The following is a 22,111-nucleotide window of genomic DNA, read 5'->3' as shown; positions in this document are numbered from 1 at the left end:
CGACAGTGTGAGACCCTTTTTCAAAACAAACAAGCAACTTTTTTTGAGCTACAGTATATTTAATGGTTTTAAATATGAGTGCAGAGTAAGAGGGAGTCCAGTCCATAAGATGACCCTTGCTTCTAATACTAGTTGCAAGTTTGGGGGTTCCCAAGACCACTCTTTTTTTTTTTTGAGACAGGGCCTCTCTCTGTCACCCCGGTGAGAGTGCAGTGGCATGATCACGGCTCACTGCGCCCTGAACTCCTCCCTCCCAGGTTCAGGCAGTCCTCCTACCTCAGCCACCTGAGTTGCTGGATCTGTGGGCACACACCACCTCGCCTGGCTAGTTTTTCTATATTTTTTAGAGACAGTTTCACCATATTGCCAGGCTGGTCTCAAACTCCTGAGCTGAAGTGATCCGCCTGCCTGGGCCTCCCGAAGTGCTGGGATTACAGGCTTGAGTCACTGTGCCTGGCCAAGACCACTCTTAGGTTGGATGATTTGCCAGGAGGACTCACTAGAACTCATTGAAAGCTCTCATACCCATGGTTAGAGTTTATTGCAGTTTAGGGATTCAGATTAGAACGAGCCAAGGGTAGAGGTGCATAGGGCAGAGTTCGGGGAAGTTCCAAATGTTGGAGTTTCTAATTGTCCTGTCCCTGTAGAGTTGTGAAAAATGACACCTTCCTGGTGGCACTGGTGTGCGACCATACTCATGGATTATTGCCAACCAGGGAAGCTCACTCTATTTTTTATGTCCAGCGTTTTTACTGGGGTTCCATGGTTGCATGCCCATGTGGCTAACCTTAGTCTCCAGCCCCACTGGAGGCCAAGCTGATCCATGTGACTCAAAGCCCCCACCATAAGCCACATTATTAGACTGTGCTGTGGCCTAAAGCCCCCAGATGAACAAGGACACTTTCCCCCACCGCCGCCCCCCCCCCCCTTTTTTTTTGGAGATAGTCTTGCTCTGTTGCCCAGGCTGGAGTGCAGTGGCATGATCTCAGCTCACTGAAACCTCAGCCTCCTGAGTAGCTGGGATTATTACAGGTGCCCGTCACCATGCCTGGCTAATTTTTGTATTTTTAGTAGAGACAGGTTTCACCATGCTGGCCAGGCTGGTCTCAGAATCCTGACCTCAAGCGATCTGCCCGCCTTGGCCTCCCAAAGTGCTGGGATTACAGGTGTGAGCCACTGCTCCTGGCCAGGACCCTCTTATTAGGTATGACATTTCAAGAGTTTAGAGATTACCTTCCAGAATTCACAGGTAAAAGCCAGACCTCTCCTTGGTGAAGATACAATTCTTTACAATTTTACAATAGTTAAATATATTTTATCAGTCTATATTGGCTGTTTAGTTGACAGACAGTTAAAAATTGGTGACAGTCCAGATGTGGTCACTCATGCTTCTAATCCTAGCATTTTGGGAGGCTGAGGTGGGAGGATTGCTTGAGTCCAGGAATTTGAGAGCAGCCTGAGCAACATAATCAGACACCTGTCTCCAAAAAACATAAAAATAAAAAATTAGCTAAATGGAGTGGCATGCACCTGTGGTCCCAGCTGTTTGAGAGGCTGAACCCATGAGGTCGAGGCTGCACCCATGAGGTCGAGGCTGCAGTGAGCTATGGTCATGCCAGTGCACTCCAGCCTGGGTGACAGAGTGAGACCCTGTCTCAAAAAAGGAAACAAATCACCCATAAATGGATAATTAAGATTTGGTTATTATAGACACTTAATACTTAGGTAGCTAAGGTAGTTTTACCAATAAATTATATTAATTTAATATTTCAGTATTGCAAAACTGATGCATACTCATTTACAATTTTGACATGGAATGGTTCTGTTTTGTTTTATTAAATTTGAACTTAAAAGTTCTCTGCAAGAAGAGATTTGTATAATAAATTCCCTGAGCCTCTCAAATTAATATTTTAGCCATAGACTCATATTTAGAGCAGTGTTTCTAATGTAATGATACAAGGCCCAGGGTTATTCATAGTTTCACCGTTTCTCTTATTCCTCATTAAAGCATGTTTGAATCCAGGCAAGAGGCATTACAGGGGAAAACCTTGAATTTATTTTTGAAGGGTAAATCATTTCCAAGTGGTATTAACCATTAGTATGGAAAGCAACATATCCTATAACTGCTCTGTGACAGTGAGACTATCTTTGCTGCTTTAGAGAATAAGTACATTCCTACTTCATTGGCTTTAGTGCAAATCTCATTTCCTGGTTTATATCCATTACAAATTAGATCTCACCATGAGAGCAAAATCCCTTAATAAACCTAGGTAAAAGCAATTTGAAGTAATATGATGCTTACTCCAGTGACACCACTAGGTGTGGTGTTTGCATCAAGTCATTTTGGGGTGCTTTATGGAAATGCTTCCTAGTAGGGAATTCCCTGACTTCACACTTTCCAGAGATGACGCTCTCTCTCTTTTTCTCTCTAATACTTACAAGAATGGACTGCAAGGCTACATTTAGTCAGGCGATACCATCCCCAGCACATGGTGGCTTGTTGGTGTGAGGTCTAAGGATTCCGGTCATTTGAAACGAATGGCCTCCTAGATTTGTGGCATTTTTCTGTATATTGAGAATAGGTAACTAAAATAAGTGGTAACTGTATTTGCATGTGATTTGTATGTGATAGTTAACATTTAAATTCTCTTATGTACTAAAATTTTTTTGGTTGCCACATTAAGCCTCTTTATCCTGTAAGGCACAGAGTGTCTTTCCACCTCAATTTTTGCTTTAATGTATGAACCCTAATGGGACCATAGTTCAACTAAAGGCACCTAACTCATGAATGATATTTGCTCCATGTTTGAACAACAAATGTTTTAACCCACTGTCTTCACTAATATTGTAACTACTGTCTTACAGATTGACTTGATGCACAACATCACAAAGGCGATTTTTGAGGTATGAGCTTTAGAAACTTACCTCTCATGTGGCATGTACATCAGGCTTTAACTTCAGTTTGATCGTTTTGGGGAAATTTATGCATTTCTTTTTTTTTCTCTCCATGATATTTTTAGAATATTAAAGGGGCTGTAGAGGTATTTTTGGTTCCTTGCTAGGATTCTTAGACTTAACAGATAGATTTTCTTTTTTCACTAAATTGAGACACTAATTCTGGCAGATGATATCCCTTTCAGCTCTTCTAACTAACTAGCCTAACATTCATGCCTGCTTCTTGGAGTTCAAATCTGCAGTTTCTATTTTGTGGCTTTGATTGCCTCATTTTAAGTGCTCATTTCCGTTCTTCAACAGTTCTCTATTTATTGGACTGGGATGATCTTGTTGGTGCTAACAGCCTGACATTGACATTTTTTGAAACCTAAGCAGTCAAGATTGTATAAAAATAGAAATTTCTTATAAATGCTAAACCATTTTGTGCTTTTAGGTTCAGAATGCTTACAACCTGAGTTCTGGTTGGGGATGCTTTGATCAATTTGTATTAAAATAATTTGGCAACTAGGGAGTTTTGAGGTATTTCTGAGACGGTGGCTCTATTCCAGTTTTTTTTGTTATATTTCTGAAAACACAGATTTTTTTTGGGAAAAAAATCTCAGTGTTCATAACTTAGGGGATTTAGAAACCTTATTTCTAACCAACGGGGAAGCTGCTCCTGGTTTTACAGTTTAGTTTGAAATCAGATGCTTCCTAGTTGGAAACACATTGTTGGTAGCAACAGATTACCTGCTTTCTTCAGTGAAGTATTTAAGTTGCTCTATATTGACTGTAAAAACTTGTTTTGATTATATTCATATACTCATGAACTGTTTGTACATTGTCTTTTAGACTGGAAACTTTGAGTTTATTTTGTATTATGGTCATAACAACTTTTAACATACCCTGCAAACTAAGTGTTTCTTTATAATTCATTATCTTATTTTAGCCTCACAACAACCTTACATGTTAGATAGGTATCATCCTCATTTTATGCAAGAGACAACCAAGGCTTGGAGATCAAGTAATTTGTGCAAAAGCACACATACTTTTCAGTGCTGGAGCTGGGATTTGAGCCCAGATCTTTTTTTAACTTGTATTCTCTGCTGCCTTATGGTACTACTGTGTCACCAGAAAATGATACAAACATTTAACTCTTAATAGTAAAGGTAGTGTAGGAGATAAGTAAACATGATGAAAACAGGAAGTGAAGATACGTTTAAATATTGGCAGACTTCAGTTATCTTTGTGTTTCTGAATTAGTCAAGTGCTTATTTTATTCGCTCATCTAATAAGAGCTTACTGTGGCATACATATAAAGTTCAAACCCTGTCAGAAAAGATTATAAGCTCTCTTACGTTTCAGTCTCCTTTCAGAAAGTAATGGTATGCTATGATTTATATAGACGCATGTTAAATGTGCTATTTTTAGGTACATAAGGAATGTCTTTTCATTAGTTTAAAAAAGTTATGGTCCATTGAGTTAATATTTTAATGCTTATAGACTTAGTATACTCAGAAAATATTCTCATACATTTTTCTTGAAATTCCATAGATTTTATTTTCCCTTATGTTCGAAGTACTTAGCTTTATGAATAAGTGAACTCTGAATATTAGAAGATACTCCTTATGGAGCCTTAGTCATTTTAGTATGCTAGGTTTTGAATTTCATGAAGTTTCAGATTGAGATCCTTTATAAGTAATGACTTGTACCAGTTAGATATCCAAGTTTAATTGGACCTATTGTCTGCATTCTGTATTAACAGTGATTGCAGTAAGTGCAGATCAAGGTGTCCAACTGATTGAGCTCATGCAAAGTTTTATGTTTAGTATTTTTGGGAGCAAGGAAAGACTAATAAACTCTAAACGAAATATATACAGTATACAAACACTGCTGTCACTTTTACACCATAGAGGGAGGGGCAAAGCGTAGAGGAATAGGTTAGTTTCTGGCCTTGCCAGTGTCCTAAACTTTTCTAAAAGATTCAGGTTCTAAAAGGTTGAGAAAGCATTTTTAGTAAATATCATAGAAGTGATTTTCTTTTTCTTTTTCTTTTTCTTTTCCTCAAAATTGTTCCTCTCAGGAGAAAATCAGTAGGGGAAGAACTTACTTGGATTTTTCATATGCTATAACAGATTATTTTGTTGTCTTCTTTCTTGATAGTTTATGATTGATGGCTGAAAGAGTAACACTCATGAGAAGTCTTGTAACTCAGCTCTGTTTTACTTATGAGGCAGTTGAAGCATAGAGCAGATACTTAGATGAGGACACACTTTTACCCTTGGCTGTACCCTACTTGTTTACTAATAAGCATCAGGTATTATTCTAAACAGTACCTGAATTTTAAATAGATTACGAACTACAACTTTCTGATATAACTTTATTGCATTTCTGATACCTTTTATTTTCTTAAAATGTCTTCTTTTTTACTTTTTAAAATTTTGATTGCTACTCTTTACAATTAAGGCATCTTCAATGGGGTCTTCAATACTACAGTACCTAATCAGTACTTAGAAAATAACTTGGTAAGACATTGCCCGTCCCTGACATGCTGCCAGTGTTTTTTATTTTTATGACAGGAAAGGCTGAAATGTTTTGACTGATTAACCGTCTCCATGGGGGAGAATTAGAAAGAATTATTCTTATTATCAAGTCATGTGAGGAGAACACTGGACCAGAGTAACCAATTGTCCTGTTTTGCCTGGAACAGGAGACTTTCAATGCTAAAACCAGCAAAGTCACCCTAATCCCAGTAGTTATTCATATTTCTGAATGGGTCTTTAGAACAGTAGAAGAGAGTGAAAAGTTGGCATTTCATCCATTGAGACTCTCTTCCCAGTGAAAGACTTCTTATTAGACGGCTGAGTGCTTACATATAATATATAGTGCATATTACACTAAATACAATAGTAATGGTTAAATGTAAAATTTGGGAGAAGAGAGGCTTGTTTAAAGAAAGATTTATTTATGTTATTTAAAGTTCTAATCTTAAACTTTTCTCTTTTTATAGAACTGATAGTGCATCAGCCGACCCAGGTAATTTAAAATATTCTTCATCCAGAGATAGAGGTGGTTCTTCCTCTTACGGACTGCAACCTTCAAATTCAGCTGTGGTGTCTCGGCAAAGGCACGATGATACCAGAGTCCACGCTGACATACAGAATGACGAAAAGGGTATATATATTTTCTTATTGCTACAAGCATGTTTTTTGAACCTACCTATCCCACCTTCCTGCCTTCTTACACCCCCAACTTTCTCACTTTCTTCTAATATATTTAAAATATGAATAACAAATGCAGTGTTATTTCTGAAAACTTCATAGGACGTTTATCCACTTTATTATTTTTAAAATTTAAAATTTTTCCATACATAATTCATCAATGCAGTTTTCTTACAAAAAAGATACAATACTATTTTTGTTTTTATTTTCAAAAATATTTAGCTAAGGTTGAAGTTCCTCTTGGCTACTGTCTCTAAACTTCAAGAAAGTTTTAAAACAAGGTGCAAAATTTGATTTAATTTAGTTTTCATTTCTTTGCTTATTTTCCAATGAAGGGATCAAAATAAAATTAATTTAACTTCAAAGGTGTATTAAAAGAAATGAAAATGATTTTCAAGGCAGACAGTACAGGAAAAAGGTAGGAGAAGCAAAGGCTGGTTGAGCTGCAGATTGAGTCATAAGATCCTGAGCTATCAGGAAATTGACTGAATGAAACGAACAATCATATTTAAATGACGTACACATGGCTGTTTGTAGGTGGCTACGGTGTCAATGGGGGATCTGGGGAAAATACTTATGGTCGGAAGTCATTGGGGCAAGAGCTGAGGGTTAACAATGTGACCAGCCCTGAGTTCACCAGTGTTCAGCATGGCAGTTGTGCTTTAGCCACCAAAGACATGAGGAAATCACAGGGTAAGGCTGGGAAAACGGGGACCAATCACATACACCTTCCAAAGACTTGTATCTCCTCTTATTCTGGATGCCTCTTACTAATGCCTTGCAAAGGCATAAGTTGATTAGTCTACTGTGCAGGTAAAAATTGTTTACATTCTTTTCCTGTGAATTGTTAATTTCCCACTAGAAAGGCTATAGTACATTTTAAAAGAGAATTCTCTTAAAACAAGATTAGAAGACTGGATAAGATCTTACAGAAAAGGTTTACCCAATTATCGTGGATATTGAATGTATAGTGCATAGTAGGCTCCTACTACAGCAAGTCCTTGAACTCTTGGGCCTGTGGAGGATATAGATATATGTAGAGAGGGGGTACTTTTCTGTCTTTTTTTTTTTTTTTTCTCTCTTTTAAGTTCAGGGTACATGTGCAGGATGTACAGGTTTGTTATGTAGGTAAACGTGTGCCATGGTAGTTTGCTGCACAGATCATCTCATCATCTAGGTATTAAACCCAGCATCCATTAAGCTATTCTTGCTGATGCTCTCCTTCCCCCCGCCCCCTAGAGTGGGTACTTTTCTGGTTTTTTTGTTGTTGTTGTTTTCAATATATTTTTTTGAGACAGAGTCTTGCTCTGTCACCCAGGCTGGAGCGCAGTGCTGCAATCTCTGCTCACTGCAACCTCCGCCTCCCAGGTTCAAGTGATTCTCATGCCTCAGCCTCCCAAGTAGCTGGGATTACAGGTGCATACCACCATACCCAGCTGATTTTTGCATTTTTAGTGGAGACAGGGTTTCACCATGTTGGCCAGGCTGGTCTCGAACTCCTGACCTCAAGTGATCACACGTGCTCATTACAGGCGTGAGCCACCGGGCCCTGCCTTGAGTGGGCACTTTTCTAAAGTTAAATACACTGATAGCATTTCTGCCTTATGACATAGCCTCACTGTATAGGTGAGTGCCTTGGAAGTTCAGAGGATTGGCCGGGTGCAGCGGCTCACGCCTGTAATCCCAGCACTTTGGGAGGCCGAGACGGGCAGATCACGAGGTCAGGAGATCGAGACCATCCTGGCTAACACGGTGAAACCCTGTCTCTACTGAAAATACAAAAAATTAGCTGGGCGCGGTGGCGGGCGCCTGTAGTCCCAGCTACTCGGGAGGCTGAGGCAGGAGAATGGTGTGAACCCGGGAGGCAGAGCTTGCAGTGAGCTGAGTGCGCCACTGCACTCCAGCCTGGGCGACAGAGCGAGACTCCGTCTCAAAAAAACAACAACAAAAAAGAAAGTTCAGAGGATTAGAGGTAATGATAATTTTTTTCCTTAAAGAGAAACTTATCGGTAAAGCTGAGTTATGGGCTTTGTCAGATGTAATTACTTTTTGGACGTTTAGTTTTTGACTTTTTTTTTTTATTTTTTATACTGTGTGTGTGCTTCGTGTATCTTGGTGAAAATCTTTGTGCCTGTAGCTTTTATTGTTGGTATATAACTTTTAAAAAACTGATTTCTTTTTATGTTTTCACAAGTGGAATGAATTCAAAGGCTATGTATGCTGTTTGTTAAAATAGAGTGTTTGAAGCCTTAGACTTATGATATTATAGAAGCTAAACAGCGATTCTAAAGTAGTTCAGTAGAGAATTCCTCTTCTTCAAAGGCTCAGGGTCATGTAGTTTGCTAGTGACAGAATTGTAAGTAGAGCCTAATTTCCCAGCTGGTAACTTGATGACATATTTGGTATCTGTCCTTATTGAAATACTCTATGGGCTACGGATTTGTAAAAATCCTATTCTTCTCTCAGTCATTGTAGTTTCTTTTTTTTTTTTTTTTTTTTTTTTAACTTAAATTCAGGATACAAGTGCAGATTTGTTACAGTGGTAAACTTGTGTCATGAGGGTTTGTAGTATAGATTATTTTATCACCCAGGTATTAAGCCTGGTACCCATTGGTTGTTTCTCTTGATCCTCTCCTTCCTCCCACCCCCCACCCTCCAAAAGGATCCAGTGTGTGTTGTTCCCCCTTGTAGTTATTTATTTATTTATGAGATGGAGTATCTCCCTGTCACCCAGGCTGGAGTGCAATGGCGCGATCTCAGGTCACTGCAGCCTCCACCTCCCAGATTAAAGTGATTCTCCTGCCTCAGCCTCCCGAGTAGCTGGGATTACAGGAGCGTGCCACCACGCCCGGCTAATTTTTTGTATCTTTAGTAGAGACGAGGTTCCACCATGTTGGCCAGGCAGGTCTCCAACTCCTGACCCCGTGATCTGCCCTCCTCGGCCTCCCAAAGTGCTGGGATTACAGGTGTGAGCCACCATGCCCAGCCTTCTGGTTTCTTTTATTATCAATTTTTTCTCATACCTTAGAAATGAAACTGTCAGACCCTTTGTGATTTGTTGTTTACGTATGTATTGGCTAATTATGGTAAATAGCACAGTTGAAAATGTTTTGCAAAAATTGAGTTTTTTGTTTTGTTTTGTTTTTTGAGACAGTCTCGCTCTGTCACCCAGGCTGGAATGCGCTAGTGTGATTTCACTGCAACCTTTGCTTCCCAGGCTAAAGCGATCCTCCCACCTCAGCCTCCTGAGTAGCTGGGATTACAGGCATGTGCCACTGTGCCCAGCTAATTTTTGTATTTTTCGTAGAGATGGGGTTGTACCATGTTGCCAAGGCTGGTCTCGAACTCCTGTGCTCAAGTGATCTGCCTGCCTTGGCCTTCCAAAGTGCTGGGTAATTACAGGCAAGAGCCACCTCGCCCAGCAAAAATCTAGTTTTTAAAGGCATCGTTAATATACTAATAGTATTCACTATTGTTTGCTTGTTCTTGTGATTAAAAAATAAAGGGAGAAAAGTTGTGGTTTGCTACCTTTCTAGTGGAGGCATGCCTTGCATGTGGTAGATGATAATTAGACATTTGTTGAACTAAATGTGTGATTATGGCTCCCCAAAACTTCATCCCAGGGAAATGATGATAATGTGAATAAGAGGCTTTCCTCCAGTGGGATACCTAGATGATAAGTAGAAGCCTATATCCTGTTTTTACTCGATTGAGACTTTATCCATACCCCTTGGAAGTTGTTTAATTTACCTACACCCGGGCTCTTTACCTGCATGTTGAAAACAGTTTGGAATGGACCCAAAGAAAGTTGTTACTAAGGCCTTTCTTTTTTCTCTCCCAGCCAGTCCTCTGGAATGAGGTGTTCAGTTGGCCTAGGGTTATTCATTTCTTGTTTCCTTCAGCAAATATTTTTTTGAGGGTCTGTTATGTGCCAGGCACTCTGCTGGGATTTGGAATACAGAGTTGAACAAAAGAGCGATAGGACCTATATTCCCTGAGCTTTTATTGACCAGTGGACTGTGACTTTTGATGTAATTTTATTTTTGAGAGAGGGTCTTGCTCTGTCACCCAGGCTGGAGTGCAATGGGGTGATCTTGGCTCACTGCAACCTCCGCCTCACGGGCTCCAGTGATTCTCCTGCCTCAGCCTCCCGAGTAGCTGGGACTACAGGTGCACACCACCTTGGCTGGCTAGTTTATGTAATTTTTTGTGTGTCTGTGGAGACAGGGTTTCACCATGTTGCCCAGGCTGGTCTCAAACTCCTGAACTCATGTGATCTACCCACCTTCCAAAGTACTGGGATTACAGGCATGAGCCCCCATAATAATTTAATTATTATTTAAATAATTTTTAATTTTAAAAATTTTAAAATTATTTTAAAATTTAAAATTTCCTTTGCTTATTTATACTCAGTGGACAACAAAATGTTTATATATTCACAGAGAGATCGATGTCTTATTGTGATGAGTCTCGACTGTCATATCTTCTTCGGAGGATCACCCGGGAAAACGACCGAGACCGAAGATTGGCTACTGTAAAGCAGTTGAAAGAATTTATTCAGCAACCAGAAAATAAGCTGGTAAGTATAGTATGTTTGGAAATATGAGGATTTTTGTGTTTCCATAATAAACTAGGTAATGCTACCTTGAGTAGTTTAAGAATGGGGAAAGTCTGTATTATGATGATCAAGAACTTAATGCTCTCTAATATGTAATTTCTTTTTCTTCTTAAAGACAAGATCTTGCTCTGTCGCCCAGGCTGGAGTGCAGTGGCACAGTCATAGCTCACTGCAGTCTCAAACTCCTGGATTCAAGCTATCCTCCCGCTGTGGCCTCCTGAGTAGCTGGGACTTCAGGCATGTGCCACTACACCTGGCTGAGGTGGAAGAATCACTTGAGCCCAGGAATTCAGGGTTGCAGTGAGATATGATCACACCTCTGCATGTCAACCTGGGCGACAGAGGGAGTCCTTGTCTCTTAAAACAACAACAGAAATGTAACAAAGTATAGGAAGGGTTAAATTTTTTTCTTCACTTTCTTTACACCAATTAAGAACTTGATATGGGCCAGGTGTGGTGGCTCATGCATGTAATCCCAGCATTTTGGGAGGCCAAGGTGGGTGGATCACCTGAGTTCAGGAGTTCGATACCAGCCTGCCCAACATAGTGAAGCCCCCATCTCTACTAAAAATACAAAATTAGCTGGGTGTGGTGGCACATGACCGTAATTCCAGCTACATGGGAGGCTGTGGCAGGAGAATCGCTTGAACCCAGGAGACGGAGGTTGCAGTGAGCTGAGATCACGCCATTGCACTCCAGCCTGGGCGAAAAGAGTGAAACTCCATCTTAAAAAAAAAAAAAGAACTTGACAATGAGCAGGAGAAAATTAATGAAAATGGTCTAGTGAGGCAGATGACACTTGGATCAAAGCAAGTTTCTCCTCCTTCCAAATTTTATTATGAGTAGTTTCAAATATATAGCAAGTTGAAAGAATTTGACATTGAATCTGTTAAACCCATCATCTAATTTTTGTCGTTAACATTTTACCCTAAATACTGCCTTGTCACATATCTCTCCATCTATCCCTCCATCCGTCAGTCAATTTTTCAAATGGATTTCAAAGTAAATGAAACAAGCTTTTTGAGTTTATTTTTTTGTTGATGGTCACAGCTCTATGTTTCCAGTGGGTGAATTTCTTTCATAGGCTGAAAGGAAACATGACATTCCTGATACATGCTCATTGGGGAGTGGGAATAATAAAGAAAGTAAAGTACTGTTGAATTAGAATTTGGAGGGAAGACAAATAAAAAAGTACACAATGCTATTCTTAAAAGTATAGGAATTTGAAGTTTTTATAAATGTGTTTTCTTTTAAAGGTACTAGTTAAACAATTGGATATCTTGGCTGCTGTACATGATGTGCTTAATGAAAGGTAAGTAACTAATAATGGTTCGGTTTAAATGACTTTAAAATATATTTTTAGAAATTACTTAACAATACACAAGAAGACAAACCCACTGGCTTTGTTTATGAACATTTATTGACATTTCAGTGGGTCTTGTCATTTTTATCTGCATTAATTATGTGTTAATTACGGTTGAATACAAATGGAATCCACTTGAAAAGAATATTTATTTTTTGAGCCGGAGTCTCACCCTGTCGCCCAGGCTGGAGTGCAGTGGTGCGATCTCAGCTCACTGCAACCTCCACCTCCCGGGTTCAAGTGATTCTCCTGCCTCAGCCTCCCGAGTAGCTGGGACTACAGGCGTGCACCACAACTGCCAGCTAATTTTTGTATTTTTAGTAGAGACAGGGTTTCACCATGTTGGCCAGGCTGGTCTGGAACTCCTGACCTCAGGTGATCCACCCACCTTAGCCTTCCAAAGTGTTGGGATTACAGGCATGAGCCACCGTGCCTGGCTGGAATATTTTATTTTTTTAATTTGCTAGTCTCACTGGATAACTGAGTCTTGACTTATGGAATGGCATAAACTCTTGATGCAGGCATGAAGAATAAAATTAGTTTTTGTAAACAAGAGAATTTGAAACTGCTTAGAGAATAGAGGTAAAAAGGAATTTCCTTCTTTGGGTAAGAGTGGATCCAAACCATATATTCTCTGGCTATTAGAGTCTCCAGAGGTGTGTGGTCATTTTTTGTTATGGTGATTCCCAAAGATTTGCAGTGTTGGCAAGTACCCAAAATTTATCTCAGCTGGTCATAAACCTTAGTGCCTTTTGATGGTTTTGTTTTATAGAGTTACTTATTAAAGTTCTATGTAAATCATTACTGTTATCCTTTTAAGTTTCTGTATTTAACTATTACCATTTTTTATTTTATAGTCATTACATATTGGATATTATGTAGAATGTAGTTATGTATAGAGTGTTTTATCTACTTATTTGTTGCTGCCCTTTTCTGAGAGTTATTTAATACAGTTTGAGATGGAATTTAGCATTTTTGGGCCTTCCCTCACTGTTTGTAAATAATTGATTTTGTAAAAAGAAAGTGATGTCAGACAGATACTTGAGGGCAATGCAGGCTAGACAGAATGTAGTATTTAGAGTGGAGAAAATTTCAACCTTTTATGTAGTTTGAATAGAAATTTAAAAAACCACTTAAGACATTCTTTTGTAAGATGTATTACTCGTGTCATCATAGAAAACTTAAGCCTTTTGTGTGTGTTTTTTGTTTGCATTAAAATAAACACAGTAGCAAATTGCTTCAGGAGTTGAGACAGGAGGGAGCTTGCTGTCTCGGCCTTCTTTGTGCTTCTCTGAGCTATGAGGCTGAGAAGATCTTCAAGTGGATTTTTAGCAAATTTAGCTCATCTGCAAAAGATGAAGTTAAACTCCTCTACTTATGTGCCACCTACAAAGCACTAGAGACTGTAGGAGAAAAGAAAGCCTTTTCATCTGTAATGCAGGTAAGAATGAAGGGGGAAAAAATGCATGATATACTTGGGAAGAAAATTGTCCCTTTAACACATGTCCTTGGAGGGGAGCTTGAAGAAGGGAATCATAGAATAGGGGTTATCTACTGATAGGAAATATGTTTTAAAAATTCCTCTTTCTCAGTTTGAGTAAAGGATACACTGTTCAAGGATCAGTGCTACATACATATATGCATATATGTGGAGAGAGAGGGAGAGATTTCTTCTAAAAAATTGGCTTACACGCCAGGCGTGGTGGCTCACGCCTGTAATCCCAGCACTTTGGGAGGCTGAGGCAGGCGGATCATGAGGTCAAGAGATCGAAACCATCCTGGCCAACATGGTGAAACCCCGTCTCTACTAACAATACAAAAATTAGCCGGGCGTGGTGGCACGCGCCTGTAGTCCCAGCTACTCAGGAGGCTGAGGCAGGAGAATGGCTTGAACCCGGGAGGCCGAGGTTGCAGTGAGCCAAGATCGCACCATTGCCTGGGAGACAGAGCCAGACTCTGTCTCAAAAAAAAAAAAAAAAAAAAAAAGATTTTTTTCCCCTTTGGTTTTTAGAAATGTTTTTTTTGAGATTGCTTAGGACCAGAATTTGCAAAGTTGAAAATAGGAACTCCACTAGTAATGCCGGATAGAAGAGTGCTTCACATTTGTAGAGGGAGACAAGAACTAAATATCACAACTTCTTTCTGAGCCTTTTGGTTTGCTAACGTGCCCCAAATTCTTATTCCAAATGGTATAAGATAATTATGTGTAAATGAATACCGGCTCTACTTAGTTGTATTTCATATTTGTGTATCTGAATATATTAAAATATCATTCTTTTTTTTTTTTTTTTATGCAGAGTCTTGCTCTGTTGTCCAGCGTGGAGTGCAGTGGCATAATCTCGGCTCACTGCAACCTCTGCCTCCCAGGTTCAAGTGATTCTCCTGCCTCAGCCTCCCGAGTAGCTGGTATTGCAGGAGTGTGCCATTAGCCTGGCTAATTTTTGTATTTTTAGTAGAGATGGGGTTTCATTGTGTTGGCCATGCTGGTCTTCAACTCCTGACCTCAAGTGATCCTCCTGCCTCGGCCTCCCAAAGTACTGTGATTAGTGTCATGAGTCACCACACCTGGCCTAAAAGATCATTGATTTAGTTTTGAGTAAGATTTTAAGTGATTAAATTATGGTATTGTTGTGTTTGGAATATCTGATATTAGGGTTTTTTTTTTTTTTTTTTTTTTTTTTACAGTTTTTGATATGCTTTATTTTGGGTATGTAGTTTAAAAAATATAAAGGAAATATAAGGAATATTCTTTTTTTTTTTTTTAATAAAAAATGTATTTTTAACTGGGCATGGTGGCTCACTCCTGTAACCCCAGCACTGTGGGAGGCTGAGGCTGGTGAATTGCCTGAGTCCAGGAGTTTGAGACCAGCCTGAGCAACATGGTGAAACCCTGTTTCTATCAAACAAAAAAAAAAAAAAAAGGAAAAAAAATAAGTTGGGCATGGTGGCATGCACCTGTAATCGCAGCTACTTGGAGGCTGAGGCAGGAGGATCGCTTGTGCCTGGGAGGTTGAAGCTACAGTGAGCTATGGTCAAGCTACTGCACTCCATTATAGGCAACCCTGTCTCAAAAAAGCAAAACAAAATGAAACATTTTCCCCTTGATTATAGAGGTTTGAGAAAAATTTGAGGGAAGATTCAGAAAATTACCTGTAACTGAACAGAATGCCACCAGCTTGGGCTTATTCTGCATGCATAATTATGAACATTTTCCCAGCTCTTGTGAAAATTCTCACATTCATAGAAAGATAGATGCACCAGTAAAATAAATACCTGTAAATACGATAATAATTTCATAATATATGCTTCACCTAGATTTACCAGTTACTAATATTTTGCCACAGTTTTATTTTCTCACACACTTTTGTTGAGCATCTGAAAACCATACACATGATGACAGTTCACCCCATAATGTTTTAGTATGCATCTCCCAAGAATAAGGTTTTTCTTCTGTATAACAAGAATATTGTAATCATACCTAAGAAAATGAATTTTATTACATATGTGTTCTATATTCAAATTTCTGTAATTACCCCAAGATGTCTTTTAAATGATTTTTAGCATTGATAGTCTGTGCCTGTGTAGATTATAACATTGGCTATTGCAAAATAATGGTTTTCTTTTTCTCTTTTTTTTTTTTTGAGACGTAATCTTGCTCTGTTGTCCAAGCTGGAGGGCAGTGGCACGATCTCGGCTCACTGCAACCTCCGCCTCCCAGGTTCAAGCAGTTCTCTTGCTTCAGCCTCCTGAGTAGCTGGGATTACAGGCATGTGCCACTGTGCTCTGCTAATTTTTATATTTTTAGTAGAGACGGAGTTTCATCATGCTGGCCAGGCTGGTCTTGAACTCCTGACCTCAGGTGATCCACCTGCCTCGTCCTCCCAAAGTGCTGGGGTTACAGGTGTGAGCCACTGCACCCAGCCTAAAATGATGGTTTTCTGATTCTAGCATTTCTTTGATAAGATTGCTATGTAAAGCACAGCTTTTCCTTTTTTAGGGAAAAATGTTTTTTAACAGCTGCAAAATAAATATTCTTTCAATGGAATGACAAATAGTTATTTATTATTTTATTTTTGCCATATATTTATTTTAAAAATTTATGTATAATGGTAACCTGAGCCTGCATGTTATTCATGTGTGGTGCCATACTGATCTTCCTTAATTTTAATATGAAGCAAGTACTAATATACTAAAGCATAAATTATATAAAATTTGCTTTATATTTTGGATTGCAAAGTAATTGTTGTACTTTATAGAAAAGTTTCCCAAATCCATTTTACTTTTTTGTATTTGAAATTTAATCACAGGTAGAATCTTAAAGAGAGCATTTAGGGATATTGTAAACAGATGTTATTAAGGACTAATGTTAACTGATGTCAAAGGACTAATATTAACAAACATTGAAGAAGAGAAAACAGTATCTGTTTTTAGCTTAACAGCTTAGTGGAGCGAAATATTTTCAGTTTATTTATTTTATTTATTTATTAATTTTTTTTTTTTTTTTTGAGATGGAGTCTGGCTGTATTTCCCAGGCTGGAGTGCAGCGGTGCAATCTCAGCTCACTGCAACCTCTGCCTCCTGGGTTCAAGCAATTCTTGTGTCTCAGCCTCCCAAGCAGTTGGGATTTACAAGTCAATTCTTTTTTTTTTTTAACTAAAACTACAGAATCTATTTTTCTTGGTCTCATACTCAGGTTTTTATGTAGGCACTTCGTAAATAATGAACCTAATTTGCTTGTTTTCTCCCTATTTTGTTGAATGTTCACGGTTTGTAACTTTTATTTTTAAGCTTGTAATGACCAGCCTGCAGTCAATTCTTGAAAATGTGGATACACCAGAATTGCTTTGCAAATGTGTTAAGTGCATTCTTTTGGTGGCTCGATGTTACCCTCATATTTTCAGCACTAATTTTAGGGTGAGTTCCTCATTCCGCTGTTCAGATCATGGGGTGAGGGGGATGGTTGTGTGTGTGAGGAACTGAGGAATCAGATGGAAAACAGTGCCTCTGCTCCTTTGAATATAATCAGTGATATTTGAGGTTCCAGGGTTAAATGCCGCATTTTTCTTTCTGACGTTCGTACCTTAAAATATTTGAAGAAAATAAACTATTTCATTGCTGTCAGAAATGTAGTTCTTTTATTTTCCTGCCCCTCTCCCCTTTCTAAGTTTCTAGAATGTCAAGTAGGTAGAACATAGATGCTCCTTTTAGGATCTTTTGCTGTGAAATGGTCCACAGGTGGATTGCAGTAATATCTTAAAATGATTGGCCCCCTCTCTCTTTGTTTCCATCAAGGATACAGTTGGTATATTAGTTGGATGGCATAGAGATCATACTCAGAAACCTTCGCTCACGCAGCAGGTATCTGGTAAGTCTTGCAGCCTATACCAGTTATTTAAATACTGTCGGGGAGGAGCAGTGGTCCCCCAGTGACCATCTATCAATACCATTTCTTTAATAATGCAAGAAAACTAATTCAGAGAAATGTTTTATTGTAAATGAACATGACTTGTTAGCTAAATATATATTTTCAGAGGAAATTACTAGTAGGTGGGTAGAGTAAGTACAGACAGGACTTACCCAAGTTATTTGTAGTTTGTACTGGTAGGAAAGTATATGGTAAGAATATATTGCAGTGGCAATACCCTGAAGTGGACAATGGAAGATCCAAGTTATTTGTCACATTTTATTGTTTTTCTGGTTATTTTTTTAAAAAAGGAAATATAGGGTTAATTTGGAGAATTGTCATAAATGAGAAGTGGTTTTGTTTCCCACTTTTTTGGAGTTAAGTGAATGACTAGCGTGGCTCATTTGCACATTTCAGCTTGTTTCAAGTGTCATAGTTTCTCGTAACTTACTTGGTGTAATAAACTTTTGAAAATAAGATATTCAGGTGATAGTGGTCTGTTTCATTTTCACTGAGGAGATGAGTATACACCTTTAATGGTTAGATGTGGCCCTGGGATTAGCCGGGCCAATGGTAGATTGTGGCATTTTAGTCTTAAGTCATGTGTAGTGACAATATAGATATGAAATTTACTGAAAAAGTAAGGAAATAACATTTACCTGTTAATTTCTGCAGAAATTAAGGAGGTATTAATTAAAGAGGTATTGGTTAATCGTGATCAGCATGTTTAGCAGTCTTAATTTTATGATATAGGACATGTTTTAGGGTATGCTGCTTGAAAACCAGATACTTTTTAAAAGAAGCCTCTTATATTTTTTAATTTGGATTTTTTGGTGTTTTTTCTCCCCCCTACCCTTTCACAATTTCTTACGCGATTCCAAGGGTGGTTGCAGAGTTTGGAGCCATTTTGGGTAGCTGATCTTGCATTTTCTACGCCTCTACTTGGTCAGTTTCTAGAAGACATGGAAGCATATGCTGAGGTGAGTATATAGAAAGCTGTTTCTTAAAATTTTGGTTAAGAAAAAATCTTAAATTGTGCTAGATTTATTTTAAAATGGCTCAGACCTCCTGACATTTAAGCAGAAATTACAAGCCCATTGCAATATTTTGAAAAATTTTTTCTTTTTGAGACGGAGTCTCGCTCTGTCACTCAGGCTGGAGTGCAATGGCACGATCTCAGCTCACTGCAACCTCCACCTCCTGGGTTCAAATGATTCTCCTGCCTCAGCCTCCCGAGTAGCTGGAATTACAGGTGCCCGCCACTACGCCCAGCTAATTTTTGTATTTTTAGTAGAGACGGGGTTTCACCATGTTGGCCAGGCTGGTCTCAAACTCCTGACCACTGGTGATCCAGCCGCGTCGGCCTCCCAAAGTGCTGGGATTATAGGCATGAGCCCCCGTGCCCAGTCAGTATTTTAAACATTTATTTCAGATGTGTTTAAGTTACCAGGAGAATTACTGGAGAGACTAAAAGAAACGTTGCAAGCTTCGTATTTCGCAAAGCTTTACATACTCTCGGTAGCTGGTATTTTTCTAAAGACATATTTTGTTATTTATTTTTATTTTTTGTTCCCAGTCTTCAGAGTCTTAAAGCAAATTGATGTTGTGTTATAAAAAAACACAAAACACCAAAAGCTCCTAAAGATTTTCCTCTTACATATGTACAGGAGATCTTGAATCGTACTTTGGAGGACAAGCCTTGGCTTCAGCCAGCTTTTGTGGCTGTACGAATATAGCATAGGAGCTTTAAGAGCGCTGCTGAAGCCTCTGTTACTGGTACTTGGCTTTTCTGGCCCCACTGTCATGGCTTAACTCTGTGCCATCTCTTATCTGAATCTCTTTGTGTTTCTCCCCTATTCAGATCAACCAGTCAAGGCTCCCATAAAGATTTTGGCCTCATCTTGTTTTTTTCATCTTTGCTGCTTGTAGTCAACAGGAATTCAGTACCTTTAGCTGTACTGATGTGTTTACTCTTTCCTAGAAAAGCAAGGAAATGTTTTGCTTCTGCGTTGTTTTTTCTTTGCCCCCACACCTAGAATGTCTTTTTTCACAGCCCACGTTTAAAGCTGATCTACCTCTCATAAGCCACACATTCTAGTTTGTAGAGATGCTTCCCCTTGTTATCCTTAAGATCTCATTCTCTTCTGTTATTTTGGTGCTTAATTTTAGGTAGATGTATACATTGGTTCTGGTATCCTAGTTTTTGCGAATCTTGTCCTTTTCATATATCGTACTTCTTCAGTTACACATCTGTAGACCAGGTCTTGTAATCTCCCTTTGCTCTTCATGTGCATGCTCTTGGTTTGGAGGACTTACTGTTGAGCTGAGTGGCTCAAAGAATACCTAGAATGAGATTTTTAGCCAAAAACTAATTCAGGAGTGGCAAAAGCTTCCGTCTTCATTTATACCTACATATAACTAGAGCATATGTGCTAGAATTTATTTTTCCCCAACAGCTTTCTGAGTTGATTTAAGAGATTATTTCCTTAATTTGTTGTCTATTGGGTTTAATGTTGGCTTTTTGAAATAATTAGGTAAAACCCATTTTTATATTCAGAGTCATGAATATTCTCATGGGCCACAGTTCTCTTTCTAAAAGCCTAAAAATCTATTCTAAAATGAATTGATTGAAATATTTTAGAGTTTTTTTTTGTTTTGTTTTGTTTTTTTAAACAATGTACTACTTATTAAGAATGCTGTGAATTCACATCTAGGACCTCAGCCATGTGGCCTCTGGGGAATCAGTGGATGAAGACGTCCCTCCTCCATCAGTGTCATTACCAAAGCTGGCTGCGCTTCTCCGGGTATTTAGTACTGTGGTGAGGAGCACTGGGGAAAGCCTCAGCCCAATTCGGGCCCTCCAATTACTGAGGCATACGTAACAGATGTAAGTGCTTTTGGGCATTTGAAGTGTCATTCAAAAATAAAATTGTTTTACATTGTAAATGCTTCTCTTTACCAGGTGAACTGTTATTAATCCTTCATTTGTTTAGCATGTATGTATGTATGTATATATGTATATATTGTCTGACTGCTTTCTTAAACAACCAGAAAAGCAGGGAATCCTGTTATAGCTCATCCTCCTTTCATCCAACTCCCCTACCCTCCCATGACAAAAGGCCACTCTGAATTTTTAAATCTCATTCTTTCATTTTTAAATAATATTTCTTATAATTTTACTTTTAAATTATTGGGTTTCCTTTTAGTTTTTCAACATATTACGAATAGCACACTATAGGAGAAGCCTCAGAAAGTAATCTTCTCTGAGCATAAGATGGAACTCATATGAAAACTTGTGTATCTTTATATTCTTTGATAGCCTGATATCAAAGAACATAAACAAATTAAAAATGAGGTAGCTAGATTGCCACACTTCAGCAGCCTCAGACATTAGCTGCACTGTATATAGCACATCCAGTGAGGGTTCAGTGGAAAAGACACAAGAAATGAACCCCAGGCATTGTACTCTGCTTTGAATAAGGAGAAAGAAGCATGTGTGATACAGTCATAAAAAATTTAATCTAACTGATGAAAATTTTACCGTTAGGATAAAACTTGCTTTTAGGAGCATATACTTTTGCTGAACATGTTGCTAAATAAAATAGGATATTGATTATATAGTAAGTTGTGTACTTGAGCAGAAATGTCAGAACTTAAAGATAAATGAAACCGGCATATCGGTATTTTAAACCAATATGGTTTCAAAATGGTTTAATATCTTTGCTTCATTTTTAATGTCTAAAAGGTGGTTGTTTGAAGACTGTACAGAGTTGAAATAAAAAGCCGTTAATTCAGACATAAAATAAAGGGGACATAATTTATAGGATAGGTGTATATTGATTTATGAGGATCTTTTAGGCCTTTGAGAATGGTAGAATGGTGGGGTTTTTATTTTTTTTATTTATTTTTGGAGCTGGAACCTCACTCTGTCACCCAGGCTGGAGTGTAGTAGTTCAATCATAGCTCACTGTAGTCTTGAACTCTTGGGCCCAGGTGAACTTCCCACCTCACTCAGCCCTACAAGCGGGTGTCACCATACCCAGCTTTTTTTTTTTTTTCCTTTTTAAAGTGGGGTGGTGCCATCACGACTCAGTGCAGCCTCTATCTCTTGGGCTCAAGTGATCCTCCCAGCATAGCTCCTGCTAATTTTTTATTTTTGTAGAGATGGGGTCTCAGTGTTTCCCAGGCTGGTCTTGAACTTTTGGCCTCAAGCAGTCTTCCCACCTCAGCCTCCCAAAGTGTTGGGATTATAGACATGAGCCACTGTGCATGCATGGCCAAGAATGCTTCCCCCTCCGCCCTCTCCCCCCAACTCTTTTTTTTTTGGAGACATGGTCTCTGTTGCCCAGGCTGGAGTGCAGTGGCACGATCTTGGCTCACTGCAGCCTTGACCTCCCAGGCTTAAGTGATCCTCCCACCTCAGCCTCTCAAGTAGTTGGTGGGACTACTGGTGTGAGCCACCACACCCAACTAATTTAGAAACAAATTTGGTAGAGATGAGGTGTTGTTATGTTGACATGGCTGGTCTCAAACTCCTGGACTCAAGAGAACCTTCCAGCTAATCCTCTCAA

General features: G+C 38.9%; 1 pseudogene; it reads left to right on the top strand.

Annotated features, from left to right (window-relative positions):
• The window catches only part of SMG1P4 (SMG1 pseudogene 4), a 36,690-nt pseudogene continuing 20,521 nt past the window's right edge, over nucleotides 5,943-22,111 (top strand).

Source organism: Homo sapiens, chromosome 16, assembly GCF_000001405.40.
Source record: "Homo sapiens chromosome 16, GRCh38.p14 Primary Assembly".
NCBI classification, from domain to species: domain Eukaryota; kingdom Metazoa; phylum Chordata; class Mammalia; order Primates; family Hominidae; genus Homo; species Homo sapiens.
Note: the sequence above shows the minus strand (reverse complement) of the source record. Positions and strands in the feature narration are given on the sequence as shown.